The sequence below is a fragment of the Homo sapiens genome, chromosome 22, assembly GCF_000001405.40.
Source record: "Homo sapiens chromosome 22, GRCh38.p14 Primary Assembly".
Lineage (NCBI taxonomy): Eukaryota > Metazoa > Chordata > Mammalia > Primates > Hominidae > Homo > Homo sapiens.
This window is the reverse complement of record NC_000022.11, coordinates 18730324-18758115: the sequence shown is the minus strand read 5'-3', so window position 1 is coordinate 18758115 and position 27792 is coordinate 18730324. Positions and strand designations below refer to the sequence as shown.

At 38.8% G+C, this 27792-nt stretch overlaps 1 long non-coding RNA gene across 2 annotated transcripts, besides 2 other annotated features; it reads right to left on the bottom strand.

The window, feature by feature from the left end:
• Window positions 1-210: 210 nt before the first annotated feature.
• FAM230E (family with sequence similarity 230 member E) lies at window positions 211-24181 on the bottom strand. Of its 2 annotated transcripts, NR_165635.1 has the most exons (12): window positions 24062-24181; window positions 22026-22084; window positions 21533-21557; window positions 18500-18586; window positions 13541-13606; window positions 11481-11542; window positions 10982-11015; window positions 6752-8764; window positions 6175-6247; window positions 5908-5948; window positions 5291-5445; window positions 211-649 (listed from the first exon to the last, which is right to left on the bottom strand). It is a non-coding gene; the product is annotated as a family with sequence similarity 230 member E (long non-coding RNA). The 2 variants fall into 2 exon arrangements; NR_136561.2 differs by lacking the exon at window positions 6752-8764 and having other exon boundaries at window positions 5291-6247.
• Window positions 23984-24485: an enhancer, noted in NCBI's record as "OCT4 hESC enhancer chr22:18721144-18721645 (GRCh37/hg19 assembly coordinates)". NCBI's record gives its function as "activates a minimal SCP1, AML or CMV promoter by ChIP-STARR-seq in primed H9 embryonic stem cells {active_cell/tissue: H9 hESC(primed)}" and the evidence as "EXISTENCE:reporter gene assay evidence [ECO:0000049][PMID:30033119]".
• Window positions 27291-27792: an enhancer, noted in NCBI's record as "OCT4 hESC enhancer chr22:18717837-18718338 (GRCh37/hg19 assembly coordinates)". NCBI's record gives its function as "activates a minimal SCP1, AML or CMV promoter by ChIP-STARR-seq in primed H9 embryonic stem cells {active_cell/tissue: H9 hESC(primed)}" and the evidence as "EXISTENCE:reporter gene assay evidence [ECO:0000049][PMID:30033119]".

Genomic DNA, 27792 nt, shown 5'->3' with positions numbered 1-27792 from the left:
ACGCACAGTCACTAGCGCCTCTGGGGGGAGAATGGATGTGGCTGGTGAGAGAACAGGGGGGCCCAGGGAGAGTCCGGCACCAACCTGGGCGGGGGAGCCCAGTGGGTGTGAGCACCCCCACTTTAGAGATGAAGTGATGGAGACATTCAGATGTTTAACCCCTTGTTCAAGATTCCATACTTGATAAATGGCAGATCAAACTCCCAACATAAAATGTGGGTCATTTCTTTATTATTTTATTTGTATTGGTTAACAATGATCAGCCATGCAAGAATAAATGATTATTGTAAAATCTGCAAACAATGTAGATATGTAAAGAATCCCTTCCTTGGAGCTTGACCTTGTCAGACAGGTATAGATGAGTGTTCCGGGGCAGCCGTAAAAACTGCCAGAGACTGGGCTGCTTATAACAGAAACGCATGGTCTCCCAGAAGCCCACATTCAAGGTGTCCAAAGGCCTGGCTCCTGGAGGCTCTGGAGGAGAGCCTGTTCCCTGTCTCTCAGCTTCTGCCGGTTGCCAGCAAGTGTTGCCGTTCATTCACTCCAGCCACTGCCTCCATCTGCACACAGCAAAACAGCATATCCTGAAGTGCTCAGCCTTATAGCCATTATTTTAAAATATCCGGAACACACAGGACCGTGGGAGTGGCTGTTGGAGAAATTTTCATGAAGGAAGAAAGATTACAACTAAGTTTTAAAATGCTAGTTTTGTTTGTTTTGTCTTGGAGAGGAGGTAAAAGTGGGAGTAAAAATAGGGAGTTTGGTGTAAGGTGGGAAAAGCAAAGGAACCCCGCATGGATGGGCTGAAGGGTGTGATGGGAGAACAGTGAGAAGTACGTTTGGGGAAGCAATTGGAAATAGTAGCTAAGCTTAATCACAATCTATCAAAAGGGACTTGTTGAAGAATTAATGTGTGACTAGGAACAGGGAGGTTATGGGCTTGTCAGCTCGACAGCGGGCACTCAGTTCCACTAACGAATGATGCCCGTGTGGACAGACAGAATGATGGACAGGCAGATGAATGCGTGGGCTTTATGTGAAACAGGTCCTCTTGGTTGTTGACAAGATACTGTTTTAAAGTTCCATTTTGCCATACTTCGAACAGCTTGTCATTAGCTCAATTTAGCCACATGTAAAATCACTAAGGCGGACTTCCAGAGTTCCCACATGAAAATCAAATGTAAACCAGCAGTGACCTGCTTCAACACCATCATCGGAAGTCAGAAGTTGAACTCTTTTTTGATGTTTAAAGCCTGCATAATATTCGCTGTATTATTATTCAGCATATTACTATTTCCTTCGTGATGGAAATTTGGTTTATCCCAATTTTCTATTCTATCAAAACACCGCTACATAGAAAATCCCCATGCACATATTTCTCCTAATTGTGGAAATATTTTACATAAAAGACTCTAGACATGGGATGAAATTCCCAGGTTATTGGAATTTTAAAATAGATAGGTACTTCCAAATTGACCTCTTACAAATTATATGAATTCGTAAGCTTCCAACTGTTATGGAGTTACCCATTTTGAGAAATCTGTGCTAAAAGGACCCAAACAATGCTGATGACAATGATCAGGATAATAAGTACGCTGGGAAGACAACAAAATGATTTAGATCTTAGACAAGTCATTCTAGGTGTCTCCACTGTTTCAGTTCTTGCGTTCGTTCATTCTTGTGCTTTTTCGTTTTACCAAATAAAATAGCTCCTTGATGTCATATGAATCCACGCTATGCTTAATGAGTATTGGTTAGTAAAATGCCTATAACTAGTAATCTTCATCTATGCAATTAAATATTAATTCATAAAACACTTCAAATGTAAACAATAATTAGTAAATGAAAAGTACATAATACCTCAATTAGAAAAAAAATCACTCCATTAAAAAGACATTATTTGTGTGATAAAAGAGATTGCCATTTTTGTATTTTTCTACAAGGTTAAAGAAAACTAAGTCAACTTATACAAGTGAATTTTAAAAGACTTTAGGGCAGGCGTGGTGGCTCACGCCTGTAATCCCAGCACTTTAAGAGGCCGAGGAGGGCAGATCACCTGAGGTCAGGAGTTCGAAACCAGCCTGACCAACATGGTGAAATCTCATTTCTACTAAAAATACAAAAAAATTAGCCCAGTGTGGTGGCATGTGCCTATAATCTCAGCTACTTGGGAGGCTGAGACAGGAGAATAGTTTGAACCTGGGAGGCGGAGGTTGCAATGAACCAGGATCGCACCATTGCCCTCCAGCTTGGGCAACAAGAGTGAAACTCCATCTCAAAAGTAAATAAATAAATAAATAAAATAAATAAAAGCCTTTAACCCAGAATGCTGAGTAAATTGGCCAAAAATGCTAACCTATGCATTTCAATACTATAGGAGTCGCATGGGTAGAAATAACCAGATGAAATACTTCTGGTATTTCACCTTCCCAACCCACACGAGCCAGTGTTTTTCTGTGAATAACAAAAACAGCAGAATTTACTTGCCTCTCCATAAGAGGTTACCACTTCTGTGTGTTCCCCCGAAACAGGTGGTGGCTGGGTGAGAAGGTGGACAGCACTAGGGCAGGAGATGGGGGCTCCAGTATCGTGGGTGAGCTTCCTAAACCTCTGCAACTTTCAGCCCCTAAATGGGATGAGCCATCAGAATTTTTAGCACAATGCCCAGAACAAAGTAAGGATTTGACAAATGACACCTCTCTCCACATTGTTCTGTCATCAGCCACCGCATCCTGTACCTCCAAGCCCACTGGGCTCCGGCTGTTTCCATCACATGGAGAATGACTCAGAGCCTGGCCTCCAGCCACCCTCCTGGCCTTTCTGCTTCTCACTCTGCCACTGGCTCCTCATGGACCACCAGCCTGGGTGTCCTCAGACATACCACACACTTCACTGTGGGAGTCACGCAGCCCTCACTGCTCCTTCGCCAGGGAGCCACGGGGCTTTCCTCCTCAGGAGGACTCTGCAAGCAGCTGGATGAAGGGCCCTCCCGTCTCTCATCCTTCCTTAATTTTTGTCACAGTTCTCCTTCCTTCCACTCAGGGCAGCGCACACTGATTGATCCTCCATCTTCCCCAAAAGACAGGAACAGCATGAGCAGTGGAGAGTAGATTCCAATGATAGAAAAAATAGTCAGTGATTTCTCATTTCCATTGATCATCAATGAAGAAAATGTATCCTGAAGGTCATGTACCTCCTATGGGACTGCTGCATCCTCAGCCTCCTGAATTTCAGCCCAGCACCTTCCTCCCCAGCACAGCAACAGGTCAGCCCTTACCAGCATCCCTCTCTTATTGCCTTTGTGCAGAGCCAGCACCAGGGCCAGGGGAGGCCTTGGGATTGTCCCTCCCCAACAATCTGTGAAACAATCCTTTATGTCACCAACAAAGCACAGCCTTCTGCACTGGTGGTCAGTCCCTCTCAACACCTCTGTCACTGTAAAGCTGGCAGGCAACCCTCCAAGGTTGGCCTTCCCAAGCACTGCACCTCTAGGTGACAGAGCATGTCCTTACCTTGAAGCCTGGGCGCCCAGTCTATCCTGTCCAATGAGCGAGCTGTGGAGAAGGGGGGATTCCGGGTTAAGGGGAGACTAGCAGGGCTCCTGCTTTTATGTTGCCCTGTTGGGAAGGCTATTAAAGAAACACAAAGTGCTAAGCAGTGAGGATAGAACATGTTTTCATTATTTCAACCAATACATTCCACAGATGGAATAATAAGAAATGCTACAACCAAGCTAACTGAATCCAACAGCATATCAAAAAGATAATCCACCATGATTCAAGTGGGTTTCATACTAGGGATGCAGGGATGGTTTAACATACGCAAGTCAATAAATGTGATACATCACATCAATAAAACTAAAAACAAAAATCACATGATAATCTGAATAGATGCAGAAAAAGCCTTTGACAAAATCCAGCATTTCTTTATGATTAAAACCGTTCGTCAAAATCAGCATAGAACGGACATACCTTAAGGTAATAAAAGCTATCTATGACAAACCCACAGCCAACATTTTCCTGAATGGGGGAGAGTTGAAAGCATTCCCCCTGAGGAAGGGAACAAGACAAAGATGCCCACGTTCACCACTTCTCAACACAGTGCTGTTCACTACAGCATTGGTTATAAGAGCAAGACTGGAAACAGAACAAATGGATACCCATAGCGGGGTGCTTAAGTAATTTTGGGAATAGTCATGGGGTGCAGTACTTTATAGCTCTGAAACAATACAATGGATTTACATTTGAAATGTGGAATGATAACTAAGGTGCATTGCCCAGTGATATATGCAGAGGTGCAGAGGACTTTGTGTAAACACGATCACACATCAGCCTGCATTCCAGGTGCATGCTTCTATTTGCACATAGATTGCAGGGATGATATGCAAACAAAAATGTTGACTTGGTGTTTGGAAGTTCAGAGTGGAAGGGAAACTTCCTTGCTAACCTTTTATGATATTTAGAGTTTCTAAATGTGAATACGTAATACATTTAGAAATCTTAGTTAATAAGAAAAGCCTCTGTTCCTGGCCTCTTGCTGGCACATGTCAGGTGGAAATGGGGCTGTCATGCTAATGTGTGCAAACTGAGAAAAATCCAAGAATGGGAGTCTGCTTTTTTCATCATACAAATAATTGTTAATAGAAACAGTATGATAATTGCTCATTGATATACCATGCATATTCTATTAGATAATAATAAATTTCTGAAATTTGAACTATACTTATACATGGAAATTGAAATATATGGATGAAACATTGTGGCTTATATAGGCAATTGTTTTATTGGCATTTTACAAACTGATCATCATTCCTCATGGCACGGGTCCATGTGATATTAAGTAGCTTGTTATGCTTGGGAAAGGCAGTGATGACCACAAGAATGACTTCAACTACTAAAGTACAATGGAGATTTCAACAATGTTTTGTTTAATATTTAAATATTTCATTGTGCTCCCAGGCTTTTTCTCACCCTAATAGCTCTCATCCATATCATGTGGGTCCCATTAATACAGATACCTCCGAATGCACCACTCTTCCATTATATCCAGTCAATTGCTGGTTACCTTGGGCCTACCAACTGGGGGAGGGCAGGGGCTGCTGGCCACCTCCTCATCTACAGTAAGAGTCAATGAGCAGTTAAATGGATACTGAAAACCATTTATCCTGCTGGAGTGAGAAATAAATGGTTTCTTTCAATAGCGTAGTAAAATGCATCTTTTCCAAACTATTTATATGACTCAAGGCCCATCTCAATTTCAGATGTGGTTAGCCTCAATTCCTGATTCTCACCAAGGTGTGTAATGTCATCCACGGCCCAGTGCAGAGGAACACAGGTGCTGCCGTCAGACTGCTAGGGTCCGATCCCGCCTCCTCACTCACCCCGGGAGATCCCTTTAAGCCAGGAGTCAACAGTGAGGATGGAAACATGAGTGCTTTTTAAAGTCCTGAAAGTTCAGAGGCAGACTGTCAATTTCTCCTCCACCCCTGGGCACACACCAGGAGAATTCTGTCTCCAGGTTGGAGGAAGTGCCTGTGAGAGAGTTGTGTCCCTCAGATTCTGTTCACCACAGGTGACACTCGATGCAACCCCAAACCTCTTCTGCACAATCCCAAGGGGTGCTGACTAATCCAACCCAAAGGCTGTGATGTTTGGCAGAGGCAGAAAAGAAAAGGCCAGGTGTTCTGGGAAAGACCACCTTTAAATAACACAGCACCCTCATAGCCCAGAGAGACAGTTCTAACTATTATGCCAATAAACCCGGAAAAGACCAAGTCCAATATGACACATATTTCCTGTTTTGTTTTGATTTCATGCCCCCTCCCTTAACCTCCCAAGCAGCATGGATACCCCGAAGGCCCCTGGGAACTCTCTCCAATTGGATCTTACGTGGAAAGTAGTTACCTACCTACAAATCCCCATCATCAGATATGCTCTCCACAATCAAATCTTTAGAAACACAAACACCAGGATAAGTCATTAGAGAGAGGCCCACCCACTCCTCCCACCCTAGCTGAAGCCATGGTGCTTCGCACAGGATCCCCTGGTGTTTCCTCTGGGCTCACAGATATCCCTACAGCCTCTCTGGACATGGTTTTATACTTGCAAAATCATTTGCTCTCACCAGACCCCAAATCCTCCTTCCCAAAAGGAGCCCAGAATCAGGTTTCTGTACCCTAGAGATGGCGCTTTTTTCTCAGGAAGTGAGTTATTTCAGGGTAGGTATCATTCTCCAGTGTCAATGGCTCCTGCAATTATAGAAAAGAAAACATTAGGAGGGTGAAATGATGCCATACACGTCACACAGATCTGATAGTCTCTCGACAACTTGAGAGAGAAAATATGAAGTCCCCCAAAACTGGCACGGAAGACACCTGTGGAAAAGACAAGACCTTTTCCCACAGAATTTATCTTTAAAGTGTATCTAGATTGGCAGTTTCACAACTCTTAATCCATGGGGGAAAACTGCTGTGGAGGGAAACACCTCTGCATTGCAGTGGATCGTGGATGCTGCCATCTACCACACCCCAGTGTGCCTGGCATGGGTTGGTGAGAGGCCGCCAATCAATAGCACCACACCAAGGGAATTGCAGATGTCATAAATAGTCCACATTGGCAGATGTTCATGTCTACATTTGATTAAACTGCAGATGACATCGATAATGCACACTGGCAGATGTTCATGTCTACATCTGATTGGAAAGAAGCCAGGAAAGTAACATTTCTGTTCAAGACAAAGAAAAGTGTCTTACATTGGCAGCATCTTCTTTTTTACAGATGTCTTGTACAGTGTCCTCATTAGCAATGTCATATACAGCGTCCTTATTAGCGAATTCGTATACAGCATCCTCATTAGCGATGCCATATACAGCGTCCTCATTAGCGATGTTGTATACAGCGTCCTCATTAGTGATGTCGTATAGAGCGTCCTCATTAGCGATGTCATATACAATGTCCTCATTAGCGATGTCATATACAGCAACCTCATTCGCTATGTCTTGTAAAGCATCCTCATTAGCGATGTCATATACAACGTCCTCATTAGCGATGTCGTATACAGCGTCCTCGTTAGTGATGTCTTGTACGGTGTCCTTATAAGCAATGTCGTCTACAGCGTCCTCGTTAGCATGCCTTGTGGGTGTCATTAGCGATGTCATATACAGCATCCTCATTGGTGATGTCTTATATGGTGTCCTCATTAGCGATGTTGTGTACAGCGTCCTCGTTAGCAATGCCTTGTACAGTGTCCTCGTTAGCAATGTCATATACAGTGTCCTCATTAGCGATGGCTTGTACACTGTCCTCATTAGCGACGTTGTGTACAGCATCCTTGTTAGCGTGCCTCGTACGGTGTCATTAGCGATGTCGTATACAGCGTCATAATTAGCGATGTCTTATACGGTGTCATCATTAGTGATGTTGTGTACAGCGTCATCGTTAGCGATGCCTTGTATGGTGTCCTCATTAGCGATGTCGTATACAGCGTGCTCACTAGCGATGTCTTTTTTTTTATATATACTTTAAGTTTTAGGGTACATGTGCACATTGTGCAGGTTAGTTACATATGTATACATGTGCCACGCTGGTGCGCTGCACCCACTAACTCATCATCTAGCATTAGGTATATCTCCCGATGCTATCCCTCCCCCCTCCCCCCACCCCACAACAGTCCCCAGAATGTGATATTCCCCTTCCTGTGTCCATGTGATCTCATTGTTCAATTCCCACCTATGAGTGAGAATATGCGGTGTTTGGTTTTTTGTTCTTGCGATAGTTACTAGCGATGTCTTATACGGTGTCCTCATTAGCAATGTCGTGTACAGCGTCCACGTTAGCGTGCCTTGTCGGTATCATTAGCAATGTCGTATAAAGCGCCCTCATTGGTGATGTCTTGTACGGTGCCGTCATTAGCGATGTTGTGTACAGTGTCCTTGTTAGCGACGGCTTGTATGGTGTCCTCGTTAGCGATGTCGTATACAGCGTCCTCATTACCGATGCCTTGTATGGTGTCCTCATTAGCGATGTCGTGTACAGCGTCCTCGTTAGCGTGCCTTGTACGGTGTCATTAGCGATGTCATATACGGCACCCTCATTAGCGATGTCGTATACGGAGTCCTCATTAGCGATGTCGTGTACAGTGTCCGCGTTAGCGTGCCTTGTCGGTATCATTAGCAATGTCGTATAAAGCGCCCTCATTGGTGATGTCTTGTACGGTGCCGTCATTAGCGATGTTGTGTACAGTGTCCTTGTTAGCGACGGCTTGTAGAGTGTCCTTGTTAGCGATGTCATATACAACGTCCTCATTACCGATGCCTTGTATGGTGTCCTCATTAGCGATGTCGTGTACAGCATCCTCGTTAGCGTGCCTTGTACGGTGTCATTAGCGATGTCATATATGGCATCCTCATTAGCGATGTCGTATACGGAGTCCTCATTAGCGATGCCGTGCACGGCATCCTCGTTAGCAATGCCGTGGGCAGCGTCCTCGTTGGCGATGCCATGGACGGCGTCCTCGTTGGCGATGCCCTGGGCGGCGTCCTCGTTGGCGATGCCCTGGGCGGCGACCTCGTTGGCGATGCCCTGGGCGGCGTCCTCGCTGGCGATTCCGTGGGCGGCGTCCTCGTTGGCGATGCCCTGGGCGGCGTCCTCGTTGGCGATGCCCTGGGCGGCGGCCTCGTTAGCGATGCCGTGGACAGCGTCCTCGTTAGTGATATCGTGTGAGGCATCCTCGTTAGTGATGTTGTGTACGGTGTCCTCATGGGGAGCTAGAAGAACACAGAGTTAAGGTCAGTGCCCTGGTAGTGGAGACTGTGAATCACCCAGGGGCTTGCTTGGTGTGGTGCATGGAGGTGGCTGATCACAGCATGGGCCAAGCTGATGCTGGGACATCCTCCCAGGTGGACCTGCACTAGTGAAGCTAAGGGATGTGGCTCAGAACACTTTCTGCAGTGGGCATCAGTTTCCAGGTTCAGGTATGCATTATCCAGTGAAGTGGGGAAATATAAAAAATAAAAATTGACAAATTCATGAAAAGCCTTCCATGAGTGCAAGTGTGAGTTTTTTATCCACTTTACATTCAGTATGCATTCACACATACAAAATATTTTTACAAGAAATCAGAAATTTTAATTTTTGTCAGTTATGTGAAATCTAACTTAGCTGCCAACATAAAGATTCTATCTCATTTACTTGGTCTCGAGAAAATCTAGCACATAGTAAGTAGACCAAAATGTTTATTAAATGAAAACACAGAGCAGAGATAGGGGGGCTGCTAGGCAGACTGGGTTGCACCTGATTACCTGGATGATAATTAACTGCACAAAACCTCGGTCAAATTAATATTGAAACTGCCTTTTGCTTGGGCTCGTTTCCCTTGCGGAAGAAGGATGACCAAGGAGATGAACAGGAAAGAAATGAGAAACAGAGGCCTTTGCCTAGTAGCTAAAGGCCACCTTCTATAACACGAAATAGTCTACAAGCGGCCTTGAACTCTGCCGTGATTTAGTGACAGAGTTCCCTCGTGTCTTCTACCCAGGTTGAAGTCCAGCAAAATTGCGACTGTCCTCTTTACAACTTGCGAGACCACACTGCTTCTGCATTTGCCTGTTGTATGTACGAGATTTACACTTGTTTTAAAGCAACATTTTGTTTCAGTTGGGCTGGTGGCCATACCCGGCACTAGCCGGTCAATAGTGAGATGGCTCCTCATGGAGGAGGCTTGGCTTGAGGCTGAGGGTCTTTAACCCACATATACAAGAGAGTTGCCACTAAGGGATGGAAGCCAGGCTAATAACCAAGTGCCACACAGAGTTCCTATCTGTCCCTCCTCACCATTTTTGGCTGGCAGGATTTGAGCATTTTAGGGCTTGGGAAGATAGTATTACTAAATCTACTAAAATACATCACCCATCCTTATAGACTTTGGCCAGTTGCTGAGCAAATTAACTTCACAACTGAAGTGGGCCACACTGGCCTTTGTGGTCCCCCACTCCTCTTAGAATTTGTGAGCGTGGGGCCTACTGGAGGGTGGGAGGTGGGAGGAGAGGGTGGATCAGGAAAAATAACTGATATTAGGCTCAATATATGGGTGATGCAATAATCTGTACAACAAACTCTCATGACACACATTTATATATGTAGCAAACCTGCACATCCTGCACATGTACCCCTGAACTGAAAAGTTAAAAAAAAAAAAAAGGATCGGTGAGCTGAGCCAAACACCTGGGGATCTTTGTGCTTTTGACACACTGATGACTATGCCTGTCCGTGGGGAGATGAACCTATAACTGCCCTGGGTTGTGTGACCACGGAGGCCACTTTATGATGATGGGCAGTGCCTGGGGCCTTTTGGGCTCGGTGCCTTAGGGTTTATACATGAATGCTGGACTCCCTGTGTGGTGGTGAACACCCCATGACTAAGTGCATGTCAGCGTCAGCACTGGCCCACACTCCTGGGTTCGTGTTTTCACTGTTTCATTCAGGAACTCGGGAGCTGGGGCCACTCCCTTGGCCCTTCAGGTTCTCCACCTGAGCAGTGGGGATAATAAGGCAGACCCGGGGATGGCTCTGGTGAGGGTGGAGGAGTCACTGTACAGAGAGAGTAGAGCGGGGGTGGATTTTATTGTTAGAAGTGGACACTGGTGATTGGGTTGTATAAGTGGGAAATCTCTCCTGAGAAAACACACAGCCTCACCTGTACAGAAACACACACATTCACACCACACGATGCAGCCTCACACAAGACACCACCAATCCTCAAGCACCCAACTCAGCACCACCCAAAAGGGAGCACAGCTGCTTCCTCAAAATTTGGCCATAATTTTTCCCTGGGGAATTCAGGTTTTAAAAAAACACTTCCCCTATACTTATTCCTATCACAATCCCAGGATCAGGGTGGCTCTTCACATTGAAACCAGGCAAGGATGCCACACCTTTCTTGGCATCCAGATTGTTTTCTTGGTAAGTGATTCCAGAATACTTACTAGATTCACGCCTCAGAGGGGCCACCTGCACCACCTGCAATACAGAAACAAAGCTTTTTGAGGGGTATGTCATGTTGTGGATTGTTTGCACAAGGCTGTGTTTCTCTCAATGAATATTGAAAACTTGATCAGAAAGTGTAGTCAACTTCAAGGCCTCCAAAACAAGGGTAGGATACACACTGGAAAAGACATCAGCTTCTGGATGGCGGATCTCTCAGGTCCACGTAGGTTGGCAAGTGCAAAATACTGAATCCAAGGAGAAGACATTGCTTCCAAGGACAAGGACCCCAAGGATACAGTCTACAACCTGAAGCCATCATAGCTAAATGCCATTTTGGATTACATATCAGTTGCTAAGAGTCACTTCTTCCTCCCCCTCAGAAAACTGCATTTAATACCTGTCATGGACATTGTCATCTTTTCACATGTAAAGTCAGTTGAAAAAGAAAGACAACAAGAAAGGAACATTTCTATTTCAGAGAAAGCAAGGCAACCTTACCCTCACGTTGACTGGCCTCTCTCCATCTCCTCTGTCCTTGTGAACTAGAGACTCCTCAGAGGCTAGGAGGACACAGAGCAACAGTTAGTCATAGATGCTTTTGTTCATGAGCTATTCAGGGAGCTCTGCTTAATGTGGACAACAGGACAGTGTGTGTGGATGTGTTTCATTAAAAGCACAGCTTGAGCTCCTGCTAGAAAATCCTCCCTCGTGGAAAGACAGGCAAGAACGAGGAGCTAAGGAGCAAGAAATAGAGTCCCTGGCATTTTGCTGATGGCAACTTAAGGCAATGGGAATGAGTCAGTCTACAAATGGTACTGAAGCACATGCTATAGTTTGATGAGAGTCCCACTGCTCACACTGTGAGGTTTGAAACCCAGCTAAATGGTTTTCTAAACCTGTAAAAACAATATTACTTGCAGGATTTATGTCCCAAGACTACTTTTACCTCTGAGGATCCACAGTGGCTGTCACTGCAGTTATTATGTGTTTTAGCATTTTGCACTTGAATAAAAGCAAAGTTTAATAGACAGATTGGATTCAATTCTAGGCAAAACAGTCTATGGTATTTATTCACTAATCCTTTGTTATAACTGCTGATGGGAGAATTAGAAGTACTGAAATTATATCCTTTAAAATTAATTAAAGCATAATTATTAATCACACAATATTTTTTCATCCAGGCCTCCTTTTCTTTGTCATGCATGCATATTAACTGAGGATGGAGAATATCTACGCTTGTTCAGGCCAGCCAACATACGACAGTTTACTTCAAGACAGGAGACATGGGTTGAATGCTGGTATGTTTTAACTCTGCAGCGCAAACAGTTGCAACAAGTGTGGTGAACTAATCACCAGATGGCCCTTTGCTGCCTTATTTGTCATTGTGCCTTACATGTAGCTTGCAGGATTTGATTACGCTTATGTTTTGTGGTGATCATACTTTCAACTATTCCTAAAATACTGCTTCAGTCTTATCTGTTTGGGGTCAACTGCTGAGGATTTCATACAAATTAATGAAGTTTGTGAATCTAAAGTTCTACACAAAGGGGGAAATATTTGCAAATCATTTATCTTGTAAGAGACTAAAATTTAGAATATTTTTAAATATATTTAAGATATATTCAAAAATCTACAGCAACAAACTAACTAAATAAAAATCAGACAACTCTTTAAAAATGGGCAAAAGACTTCAACATATATTTCCCTAAAGAAGATATAGCCACAAATAGTAGCACAGGAAAAGCTGCTCAGGATCATTAGTCATTAGGGAAATGCAAATGAAAAACACAAGCAGCCACCAATATACACCTACTAGGATGATTTAAAGGAAAATAAGTGTGAACAAGGATGTAAAGAAATTGTAACCCTGATACATTGATGGTAGAAATGGATAAAGTTGCAGCCACTGTGAAAAACAGTCTGCAGTGGCTCAGAAGGTTAAATATAGAACCCCTGTTGGACCCAGGAACTCTACTCCTAGGCACCCCAAAGAATAGAGAACAGAAATCAAACAGATGTTTGTATACTAATGTTTGTAGCATCACTTTTCACAGGAGCCAAAAGGTGGAAATAATCCAACCATCAGTGAACAAATGAATGTAATAAAAGCAAGGTGGTCTGCATGCAATGCTACATCATCCATCTGTAAAAAATGAACATCATTTTGATAGATGATACAACATGGGTGGACATTGAGAACATTATGCTTAGTGAAATAAGCCAGACACAAAAGGAATATATTGTATAATTGTAATTACATGAAGTGCCTAGAATAGTCAAATTCATACGAGAGAGTGGGATAGGAATCACCATGGGCTGGAAATAGGGGGAAGGCGCTATATTGCTTATTGTGGACAAGGTTTTGTAAGAAATCATCAAAATTGTGGGTGTAGATAGTGGTGTTGGTTATGCAACCCTGTGAATATATTGAATGCCACGGAGTGCACACTTTGGTTAAAAGGTTCAAATGATAAATAATGTGTTATATATATTTCCCCACGATAGAAAACATGCACAGCCAAGCCCAGATGCCAGTCTTGTTAGCTGCCTTCCTTTACCTTCAAGAGTGGGCTGAAGCTTGTCCAATCTTTCAAGGTTGCTGAAGACTGTATGATGGAAGTCATCTGCATTGGGAAAGAAATTAATGGAGAGAGGAGAAAACTTGAGAATCCACACTACTCACCCTGCAGGGCCAAGAACTCTGTCTCCCATGCATTGCTGACCCATCTCAGTATTTCCTGTGACCACCTCCTTTTTCAACTGAAGACTTTGCACCTGAAGGGGTTCCCAGGTTTTTCACCTCGGCCCTTGTCAGGACTGATCCTCTCAACTACTGACCATTTCACCTCCATTCATGTCCATGCCACATCAGGCTGTGTTGTCTAGATGGCATGAATCTACCCCAAATGTCCCTTTCTGGAGGAAGCCACCATTATGCTGTACCTCCAAGCATAATGATACGTCCACACACACCAAGGCACCTCACTCATGCAAGGTGTGTGTCCTCTAACAAAGTTTCACGCTCTAAACCCAGATAACTTTTGAAACCCAAGTTCTGTTGATTCCCCTACTTTGGGTGCTCCATAGATGCTCATGTGTCTACTAAACACTGCCCCAGGCAATTAAATATTCCAAAGTGACCAGCAGAATTTTTATGTTAATTCTGACATTGCATTGTTAGTACAAGTGTTTTTCCCCCTTCAAATTTATGTCTTTGTTACTGATAAATGTAACTGATAATGCTTTTTTCAGCTATGTTGCCAAGCATATTTATATAAAAATATACTCAGATTGTTTTCAGAATTTGACAAAGATGATAGCAACAACGATAATCTCATTTGTCTTATACTAATCTTTATGTGTTACTTTCATCATTTCTTACATATTGGGGCCTACCATACATTGTACGGTGAAATTAGTGCTATGCATCATGGTAGGAATATAAATTGGCAAAAGTAATTTAGAAAATAGTTCCCTTCTTTCTTAAAAAAATTAGGCTGGGTGTGGTGGCTCATGCCTATAATCCCAGCACTTTGGGAGGCAGAGGTGGGTGGATCACCTGAGGCTAGGAGTTTGAGACTAGCCTGACCAACACAGCAAAATCCTGTCTCTACTGAAAATACAAAAATTATCCAGGCGTGGTGGTGTGTGCCAGTTGTCCCAGCTACTCGGGAGGTTGAGGCATGAGAATTGCTTAAACCTGGGAGATGGAGGTTCCAGTGAGCCGAGATTGTGCCACTGCACTCCAGCCTGGGTCTCAGAAAAAAAAAAATTTTTTTTGACCAAAATGTCATTATGCATTACATGACTGTATATGAATGCACAAAGCTACATTACTCATCAAAGAAAATAACAAAACAATTAAATGTCCATTAACTGATAAATGAATAAACACTATCTGTATGAATAAACACAGCAGACTATGAAGGAAAACACATGACCAGCACGTGCTAACACGTCAATTAACTTCAAACATAGTATGCTAAATGAGGGAAGTCAGATTCCAAATATATATATATGTCCATTTCTATAAAGCAAGTGGGAAATTTATGGAGATGGAATGTCACAGCAGTATTGCTTAGGGCTGGAGATGGGAGTGGGGATTAACTGCCAGTGCGCAAGAGAGAACTTGGGTGAGGGAAACATATTTAAATTAGATCGTGGTGTTGGGTGCACACAGTATCAATTTAATAAAGCATCAAATTCTAGACCTTTTCAGTGGGCAAACTTTATGGTGGGTTCACACCCAATATAGGTGTTAAAAATAATGTTACGGAAATTCTTGTCGGGTTTTTAACAAGCCAAGAGATATGCTGTGAAAGCAGCATTAATTCAAGTGGTTGTCACAGGTCACTTAAAGTTAATCAGATAGTTGTCCTACAAATATAGGGTGAATGTTATTCATGAATTTCCTGAATCTATTGCAATAATCACATTTTTTTCCATTAAACTCTTGAGGTAGCTAATTTTATTTATTGCATTTTCAATGTTAATCTACTATTTCATATGTTGAGATTAACTCACATTAGTCAGAATTTAAAGTATTTTAAAATATCACAGAATTTAATTTACCTTATCTGGATTTGGTTTCAAGACTATACTAGCCATTTCATTTAATTGTACATGTAGGGTATTCTAATTTATGGAAAACTATTACATCTTCCTTGATTTTTTTTTTTTTTAGAAATTACTTCTAGGGATCTATATGGTAGAGTCCATGGAGAATTGTTTTAATTCTTCATTCATGTCTTCAGTGGGTATAGGATTGGTCATATTGGTCATAGTTTTCTGCTCGGATTTCAATAAGAAACTTGTGGAAGAACCCGAAGGGTGGGATCTTTGAGGGAGCCTAAGACAGAGCAAGACAAGCTAAGAAGGAGGGCAGTGCCACAGCAGAACTGCCATTGATGCCCCCTCGCCTAGACTGTGGAAGAGACATCCAGCTGTAGACACTGAGGTGCAGGAAAACAATGGAGCACCATCAGAGAAAGCAGTGCCCAGGAACAAGGAGGCACTGATGGTGGCAAGGGGCAAAGACAGCTGCCACGAGGCTGTTCACATGAGGGTCTCAGGCTGCATAGACACCCACACCAGCTGAGGGGTCCTGGTTTTCATAAAGTGTGTGGCTCAGCCAGGCCACCAACAAGCAGTTCACAAACAGTAGTAATACGACACTTTCCAAAGACCTTACTTGAGTAACACGGTGATCCTCACAAATTTCCAATCAGGATGGTCGCACAGTTCCTCCTGCTTTAGGACTCAGAGCCTGCCCGTGGTCACAGTGGGTAGGTGCAGACTCTGAAGATGCACTTTGGTCAGAGACCCTGCTGAACTCTGTCTAATGAGGACCTCTGTCCTGTCTGCTGACCACCGGTCAGAGGTGCAGGCTGCAGTGGGGAGTAAGAATGCCACCTTCTCAATGTTGGGAAAACTCCCTGCCAGAACTGAGAATGGCCCTTTCTAAGCAGAAGGCAAGCTCAGACTAAAGAAGGAGGCCGAACACATCAGGTTGGCAGATTGCCAAAGATTCACTCAGGGAGAGCCCACATCCTGGGCCATCTTGGGTGGTGGCAAGATGAGGTAGACGACTGCTTTTGCAACACACACCTGACAACAAAAAATCAACAACTGTAAAAGAGCCACAAAATCCCCAAATATTTGCAAATTAGCAATGCACTTTTAAATAACTCATGGGTAAAAGAAGAAGTCTCAATAGAAAATTAAAAATACTTTTAACTACATTAAAAGAAAATGTCACTTGGCAAGATTTCTGGATGTAGCAAAAGCAGTCCTTAGAGGGAAATCTACAGCATTGGATGCAATATACTAAAAATCACAAGACCTAAAATCAGTAATATCATGTTTCAATTAGGGAACTATAGAAAATAGAGGAATGCAATGGAAAGCAAGTAAAAGTAATAAACAACATCACAGAAATCAATAAAATTAAAACACTGAAATCATCAGAAAATCAATAAAACCAAAAGCTGGTTCTTTGATATGCTCATTACAATGAATGAATTGATATGCAGGCTAACCAAGAAAAAGAAGATAACACAAATGACCAATTTCAGAAATAAAAGAGGAGCCATCTCTACTGAACTGTTAGGCATTAAAAGGAATATTATGAACAGTTCTATGACCGCAGTCTGATAACCTCAGTGAAATGTATCAATTCCTTGAAAGGCAATCTTCCCAAGGTCACGCTAGAATCCTAATTTGAATAAACTTATGTCTATTAAATAAGTTGAATTCACATTAAGAGCATTCCGAAAAAGAAAGCACCAGGCCCAGATGGTTTCTCTCATGAAATCTACCGAATTCTTCAACAGGTGAATAAAAAGACAAAAATTCATTTAATGCAATATTATTTGGTGATTTAATGTGCCATTTTTTGCCATTAAGGCATAAAAAAGACATGAAAGCAGCTAAAGCATACATCAATTTAGTGCAATAAATTCATCTGAAAAAACTACATAATATATGATTCCAACTATATGACATTCTGGAAAAGGCAAAGCTGAAGCGATAGTAAAAATATTAATAGTTGCCAAGGTTTCTGGAGAAAGAGGACAGAGATTAATGAGAAGAGAGGATTTTTAGGGAAGTGAACATTTTCTTTATGAGACCATAAGGGTGAACATAATGTTTTAAATATTTCAAAATTCATATATATGTATAACAGAAAGAATGAACATTATGCAAATGTAGACTTCAGATAATAATGTATCAATATGTTCTCATTATTCTAGCAAATGTACCACAGTAATGTAAGATGTTACTAATAGGTGAAATTAGGAAGTGAGGGTGAGGAGTCAGAATAATATGGGAACTTCGTGTATTATATAGTCAATTTTTATTTATTTATTTATTTATTTATTTTGAGATGGAGTTTCACTCGTCACCCAGGCTGGAGTGCAATGGCATGATCTTGGCTCACTGCAACCTCTGCCTCCTGGGTTCAAGCGATTCTCCTGCCTCAGCCTCCTGAGTAGCTGGGATTACAGGCGCCTGCCACCACACCCGGCTAATTTTTTTGTATTTTTAGTAGAGATGGGGTTTCACCATGTTGGCCAGGCTGGTCTCCAACTCCTGACCTCAGATGATCCGCCTGCCTTGGCCTCCTAAAGTGCTGGGATTATAAGTGTGAGCCACCACACCCGGCCATATGCTCAGTTTTTATGTCAATTTAAAATTCTCTAAAGAAATATATTAATTGAAAAGTAATAATATAGCACCACTCTTTCAGGGAGATCTATGCTTTTGTTTAACAACCAGGTAAGTTCTAGACATTAGCTTGAAACATTGTCTATCATTAAACATGAACCAAAATTGACTTTTAAGTAGATATTTACTTTTGTGGTGGTAGCAATATTTACTGACCAGGCAAATTAGAATCCTGACACATTAAAAAATATGGCTTAGTCTCTTCATAGTTTCCTCTTACATATGGGACACTGAATACTCCCCGCAACTGCAATTCTTGAATCAACTTAATTAATGAACTTCCACAGTACCTTCTTGTGGGTACCTCTTCTTCTTTACCCGGGAGCCATGAGGTCTCCTACACTGGTTGGTGTGCACAGCATATCTTCTTGTATTCTCTATCAGAGAAGACGCTGGTTAATGCATTGACAATAGATAGGGCTGTTGACATCTTGCTGACAGAAGGCCAGAGGGAAAATAGTGATAATCTGTTCTAAGTTTAAACTTATGATCCTTTTCTTTACAGGCTTCCAAGCAGAGCCCACTGAATCAAAGTTGGGTTTCAGGAAGATCACGGAGTTCAGTGAGCACTCAACACCTCTATCAGACAGACTGCGTGGGCAGTGCCTTCCTGGAGAGGGGAACACAGCCGGATGACTGTGAGTGCAGGGCTGGTGCAGAGTGGGGGCCCGGATTCAAATTCCACTAAGCCATGTGGACCTGGCAAGCTCATGTCTTCCCTCTGCCCTCAGTTCTCTGCACTGTCATAATGTAATTTTAGCAATACTTTTTAGGCCCTATTTAGGCCCTACTTCTTAGTATCACAGTACAGGGCTAAAAAATCACTAAATACAGGAAAACCTTAGAGAGGACTGGTACTTCAGTAATGTTCTCTAAGTGTTTACTACAGGCCAGGAGGAATAAGCTGGACACTTAGCAGTGGCGGAATATGGAGGGGGAACTTGGATGGCTCCGGGGCAGTGGAGCATGCTTTCCTGTTCGGCTTTTCCGTGGGCATGACGCCTTATGGTTTATGGAGAACATCAGCCCTGCAGGGGGTGCAGAGGAGGGGCTGTGGCTGAGATTTTACACTTGAGGGTGCTGACATTCAGAGATGATAAGTGACGAGCAGAACCTCAACCCCGCTGAGTGAAGGACCTGAGATGGGAAATGTATTTGGTTCCCTAGAGAGAGAGATTCCTGAAAAACTGCCACCTCTTCATCACGCCCTGTGCCAGAGACCCAAGAGACCCCTCACTGTCTTTCTCCAGTCCTCCTAGCCCAAGGTGTGTGGGTGGACAAAGGTGATGCTCTGGAGGAAATGCCTGAGATAAGGACAGGTCCTTAATGATAAAGAATTCTCCTTCCTCTTTCAGATCCTTGACCTCACCAGTATGACAGCTTAAAGACTGTCATCTCTGTGGCCTGCCTCCCCTTTCCCTTCACCCTGCCAGCTGCCTCTCAGTGACTGTCTCCTCCAGTGACTACACTGAGGGACCAGGGACTGCTTGCCTCCCGAGGCTGCTCAGACCTTCTGACACCGCAAAATGATTGTCAAAAATGAGTCTGCAAAGAGTAACTTCCCTTCCACTGATCAAACCTGAATATGCAAGCTACTGTGAATTAACTGGAAAAGTGGCCGTGTGGGCTGGTGCTTTGGTGATTTAATGAATAAAGTCTGCAACCCCCACTGCCTCCTTGACTATTGATCAGAGCTGCCTGCAATAAGGTCTGGCTAAGAATCGGCAGTGGCTGTACCAGCTCTGGGTAAAATTTGACCTAAAATGACCAGTCTCATTCACTAACCTCACCATAGTCTTATGGGTTCAATGGACCTGTCCAATCCTTTGCTCTGTTCTCTCCATCACCTTCCTGTGTAATTTTCCTCCACCACGCACATAACAGAAACATGGCACAGGGGAGCTAATCACCTCTTTTATCCCCCACTTCAGGCTCACACATAAGTTTATAGTAAAAGCCTTTTCAAATGACTGCTTTAACTGCTGCTACAGCATGTGTCATCAGTTGAATGGAATCTGTCACGTGACTTTAAGCAACCCTTTGCTGAGAGACAAGATTCAATACTAGGGACAGTATTCTAGTGTACTACATCATTGATTTTATGTTATGAAGATCATCATTTATTGAAAATGTATAAATAACGAAGCCCAGCCTTACTCTTCAACGCTGTGTGTGTAAATCCACTGAGTGTGCTGACCCCCACGCTTGTACCCACCTGCTAACACAGAAAGGGTCCACTCAGAAGGCAGGCACAGCTCCAGCACTGAGGCTGTCCACACCAGCTTCACAAGAGGGTTGCCACAAGGACGACGGATACCCGGATAACAACCAAATGGTAATTTGAGTACTTAATGGTCATGATCCCTAAAGTGTGTAGCTCAGAGGGCTTGTGGTGATAACTCCATCAAGACTCTAAAGCATCTCCCCAATTCTTACTGGACTTGATCCATGTCTTGAGGAGACCCAGCTATGACACGCAGGCACCACGTTGTCCTACTTAGTGCCTCCCTTAGTGTTTCAGAACCTGTGATTTGATCAGAAACATGGGCTTTCTATGTTGGTTTCACACTAAGGACTATGTGACACCTGCAGGAAGATGTCTACATAGCTACCTGGATTATGAGATCATGAGGCTGTCTTATGTGAGGGATGGCGTTTGGGATCTCTGCAGGCGTGGGTAATTCCAGGCATAGAGGGTGCTGGAACTCCCTTGCATGGTGAATAGTGATCTCTTCACTGGCTGATAAATAGAGGTTGTAGTTCAGGCCTTCAACATTAGCACCGTTTGAGTAAACATTTTGACTCTTCACTATGCAGCAAGTGAACCAGGGCACATTTATTTATGTGGCTTAGTTTCTCCATCTGGCATGTGGGCTCAATAAACAAGCTCACAACATATGGGCATGATGATGATGAGGTGTGAACTAATGTAAGTAAAGTATGTGGTCTGATTTGTTAAATTAAGAAACATGGCACTGAGAGTTGTGCTGGGTAAACACAACATTTTTTTCCTAGGGGAAACACACATAGACACACATTCACAAGCAAATCATGCAGACTTGCACACAGACCACCTCACCCCACCCCCGCCCTAATACACACATACCCACACACAACCTAATGTGAACATGTTCCCAGAAACTATACATAGATAAAAAGAGTATGTCACCAGGAAAACCAGTTTCTTTTACTATACCCTACATCCTCATTCCCACCAGATGTCTTGGATCATGGAGGCTCTCCAGACAAAAGCCAGCAGTTAAGCTCCAGATTTCCTGTAGAATCCTTTTCTAACAACCAGTGAGTGATTCCAGAATACGTACCATTGAATGTGCTCCCTGAAGTCACCTGTAATTAGAGAAGGAAAACACTCTGAGAATCAGGCTATGCTATGGATGGCTCACACAGGTCTTTTGTTCACTTGGAAACTCTGGGTAACCAAGACTGGAAATAAGGTTCAAGTCAAAAGCCCCAACTCTAGAGTAGAGTTCCCTTAGGAAAGCACAGGAGCTTTTCTTGAAGAATGTTTCTGTCTAGGTAATTTTTGAGTAGCAATTGCAGAATTCTTATCTAAAGTGGAAAGCTTGTTCCTGAAGAAAACATCCCTTAACACCCAGTGTACTATCTGACACTGCCAATTTTGCACGTCCTCTGGAATCAGGTGTCAGTTGGTAAAATACACCTCCTCCATCCCCAAGGAAATATTATCTAACACCTATAATGTAGTGGAGAATTTTCCCATAGCTGATATCAACTGAAAAATAAAGGATCCAAGAAAACAACATTTACATCTTAGGCAAAGACAGGCTACTTTACCTTGGTAGTAGAGTAGGGCTTCCTTTTCACACGCTTTTTGGAAGGCTTCTTCGAGTCACCTAGGGGATGTGGAGGGACACAGCATGGCTGTCAGTTCATTGGCAGTGCTACTCATGAATGACTCAGGGACTGGAACTTAGGGGCGTGCCTGGTTAACAAGCATGGAATGAGCTTCTCCTGGACCATCTTCTTCACGGACCAAGGAAGGCAAAGAAAGAGCAGCAAGGAAATGAGAGTAGAGCCCTTGGCTTTCCAGGTAATGGCAAATGAAAGCAACGTGAAATAATCAACTCCAAATGAACAAATGCTAAAATACATGCTAGGATTCAACCACAGCATCCTGTCACTTCTTCAGACCCTTTAAAAGCCCAGCAGGACTGCCACTACCTTCTTGACATCTACCAAGTCCCTTTCAACCTCCACAGACCCACATACACTGCTACTGCATTTATCATGGAGGGTATAGGGTTCTGCCTTGTTTATGTGTGAATTTTTTAAAAACTAGATTTAATACCATGCACCAGCATTAATTGTATTTATTTCTTTTCTTGGTTATGAAAATAATCAGTCAGGCATAGTGGCTCACACCTGTAATCCCAGCAGTTTGGAAGGTGGAGGTGGGTGGATCATTTGAGGTCAGGAGTTCGAGACCAGCCTGACCAACATGGTAAAACCCCATCATTGAAGATAAATGTTTTATATCCATGGTTAACAGATGAGATGACCATGAAATGAACACCAGTGTACTGGGTGGAGCAGCTTATCTATTCAGTCTTCGGCACTAAAACCTGTGAAACAATATCATCTTGCCTTATTTACTAACAAATACAAGTGCCTCTAAACTTAGACAGTTTCCAAGTCATGGAACTGATGAGCACTTAGCTCCTGCAGAGAGCTCTGGACGATGGGTCGGGAGAACAAAGACACAATACATCAAAACAGCATTAACAAGTAAACAGGTTTTCAAAGCCCTCTACATGCAAATTTACACAATTATCCTTTTAATTTTTATCTTCATATATATGTACATAATCTACTTGCTTCTGAGTATAAATAAAACTGTATGTTCTTAGTTAATAGTCTCTATAAATTCACTCTATTTATCTTTCTGAGTTGAAATACTGCATCTCATTGGATAACAAAAAAAAAATTTGACTAAGATTACACTGGAAAGGTGAGTAGGTTGGGTGATTGACTGTGATTGACAATTCCATGATTCTGGATAACTTCCAAGGCATAAAAATAAATGTGTGTTTTCTTTCACACGTAGACAATACACATACTTATTACTTTAAAAAATTAATATGTGCATGGAAGTGACTTACTACAAATATATTAAAGTAAATACACATTTCACAAAAAAAGAAGAGAGGAAGGGAAAAACATGTTAAAAACAAAGAGATGTACATTTTATTGTGTGAAAAGCCTCCAACGGATCCATACTACTGTGGCTTTGTTCCAAAGTTTTGGAAAGTAATGATTTCATAGGTTCTTAATTGGGTTAAAAACTGCATTAAAATAGACTTTGCCATATTCTCCCCTGGGGAATAACTTAATCTGTGGGGTGGGGGATGGAACGTTGAAGGATGCAGGATGTAAAAGGAAATTATATATATATATATATAATTTGGAATTTGGGAATAAACTGAATAAACTGAATCCCAATTCACACTGGGACTACACCAGCTGCCACCATGCCTGGCTAATTTTTTGTATTTGTAGTAGAGACAGGGTTTCACTGTAATGGCCAGGATGGTCTTGATCTCCTCACCTTGTGATCCTCTTGCCTTGGCCTCCCAAAGTGCTGGGATTACAGGCCTGAGTCAAGATACATATTTTTTAAATGAAGAAAAATTTCAAAGATACTCTGCTTGGTACAATAATCAAATATATAAATTGAGGAATAAAACATAATCATGAAACATATTTATAACTGCATATGGAAAATACAGAGGCTAATTTTTTAAATAACATATTTTGAAAGCATTAACTAGTAATTTGAAAAGATCGCATTTGACAGGCCAGTATGAACATACCTTGAATGCAGCCACACAGGTTCCCCATAAGAAAAATCAAAATCAGGGAAAATGAAACCACAATGGTTCAATCTGCTCTGACCTTTGAAAAACTCAGCACAGATAGTGGCACTTAGGACCAAGGGCAGGAGATCCCTAATCCCATCACCATGGCGATAGGGCATAAACATTCCAGGGTGAAGGCACAATCCACACTGTGAGGTCCAACTGCTGCCATGCAGACAGGTGGGCTTTTACAAGTACAGGAAGGTCATCAAAGGCTCAGTGTTTTGTTTCAAAAACTGAATCCCAAGCCCACACATTATTATGCTGGCTTCTTAAAATAAGTTATGAGATGGGAAATAGGGCACCCACAAATATATATACATATAATTATATATAATATAATATATATTATATATATAACATATATATAATTTCCTTTTACATCCTGCATCCTTATATTATATATAATATTACGTATACTATAATATGTATTATATATAATATAATATATATGAATATATATAATAATAAAATATAATATAATATATATATAATTATATATAATTATATATAATATAATACATAATTATATATTATACATAATATAATATATATAATATAATATAATATAATATATTATATTAGATAATAATATATATTATAATATATCATATATTATAATATATAGGAATATAATATAATATATATTATAATATATTATATATTATAATATATAAGAATATAATATAACATATATTATATATAATGTAATATAATATATAATATAATATATAATATAATATAATATATAAAATAATAATTAATATTTTAAATTTATTATTAATTAATATCAATTAATATTAAAAATAATATAAAATATAATTAATATATAATATAATCAATAATTATTATATATAATAAAATATACAATTATATATATTATATATAATAAAATATATATATTTATGTGTATTTATTACATATAATATAATACATAAATTATATATAATTATTACATATAATATAATATATATTATACATAATTATTACATATAATATAATATATACTTATATATAATTATTACGTATAATATAATATATAATTATATATAATTATTACATATAATATAATATGTATAATTATATATACAAGATAATATATAATATAAATTATATATTACATATAATATATTATATAAGATATATATAATATCTTATATAATATATTATATGTAATATATTGTATAAAATAATATATATTTTATATATAATATAATATTATATATAATATAATATATAATATATTATACAATAATATATTATAAGATAATGTATATTATAATCTAATATATTATATATTATTACATAATATAATATTATATATTATTACATAATATAATATTATATATTATTACATGATATAATATTATATATTATTACATGATGTAATATTATATATTATTACATGATGTAATATTATATATTATTACATGATATAATATTATATATTATTACATGGTATAATATTATATATTATTACATGGTATAATATTATATATTATTACATAATATAATATTACATATTATTACATAATATAATATTACATATTATTACATAATATAATATTATATAATATTATATAATATAATATTATATAATATTATATAGTATAATATTATATATTATTATATAGTATAATATTATATATTATTATATAGTATAATATTATATATTATTATATAATATTATATATTATTATATAATATTATATATTATTAAATATAATATTATATATTATTATATAATATATCATATATTATTATATAATATATCATATATTATTATATAATATTATATAATATTATATTATATATTATTATATAACATTATATAATATTATATTATATAATATTATATATTAATATATAATATAATATATATTATTATATAATATATTATATATTATTAAATAATACAATATTATATATTATTATATAATACAATGTTATATATTATTATATAATACAATGTCATATATTATTGTATAATATAATATCATATATTATTATATAATATAATATCATATATTATTATATAAAATAATATCATATATTATTATATAAAATAATATCATATATTATTATATAATATAATATTCTATATTATATAATATTATATTCTATAATATTATATAACATTATATTATATATAACATTATATAGGCTTATGTATTTTATAATAATATAATATATAATATATTTATGGGAATGTGATGATATTATATATATTATATAATATATTATATATTATGTAAGATATTATGATATATATTATATAATATATTATATATTATGTAAGATATTATGATATATATTATATAATATATTATATATTATGTAAGATATTATGTTATATATTATATATTCTATAATATATTATGATATATATTATATATTATATAATATATTATGATATATATAATATAATGTAATATAATATAATTATATGTAATATAATATTATATATCATATATATCATATATTATATATTATACATCATATATCATATATTATATATCATATATCATATATCATATATTATATATTATATATCATATATTATATATTATATATCATATATTACATATAATATATGTCACAGATTTTATGTAATATATGTCACATACTATATAATATATGTCATATATTATATGTAATATATATCATATATTATATGTAATATATATCATATATTATATATGTCATTTATTATGTAATATGTTTCATACATATTATATATAATATATATGATGTGTTATATATATTATATATGATATATATTTTATGTAATATATGATACATATTATATAATATGTATATTATCTATATTATATATTCTATATAAAATATATATATTATATATGTCATATATTATATATGTTATATTACATATATTATATATAATATATAGTAAATATTATATACCTAATATATTTATTATATATAATATATTATATATAATATATATTAGGTATATAATATATTATATATAATATGTTATATATAATACATTTATATAATATATTATATATAATATATCTTATGTATACAGTATATTATGTAAATATATTATATATAATATATTATGTACATAATGTATATTATATATAATATATTATATATAATATATTATATATATAACGTGACATATAATATATATTATTTATATATAATGTATATTATATTTTATATATATTATATATTATATGATATATATAATATATAGTACATATAATATACATTATATATGTATAATTTTTTTTAGACCAGATTCTTGTTCTGTTGCACAGGCTGGAATGCAATGGCGCCTTCTTGGCTCACTGCAACCTCTGCCTCACGGGTGCAAGCGATTGTCCTGCCTCAGCCTCCCAGGTAGCTGGGGCTACACCACACTGGGACTACACCAGCTGCCACCATGCCTGGCTAATTTTTTGTATTTGTAGTAGAGACAGGGTTTCACTGTATTGGCCAGGATGGTCTTGATCTCCTCACCTTGTGATCCTCTTGCCTTGGCCTCCCAAAGTGCTGGGATTACAGGCCTGAGTCAAGATACATATTTTTTAAATGAAGAAAAATTTCAAAGATACTCTGCTTGGTACAATAATCAAATATATAAATTGAGGAATAAAACATAATCATGAAACATATTTATAACTGCATATGGAAAATACGGAGGCTAATTTTTT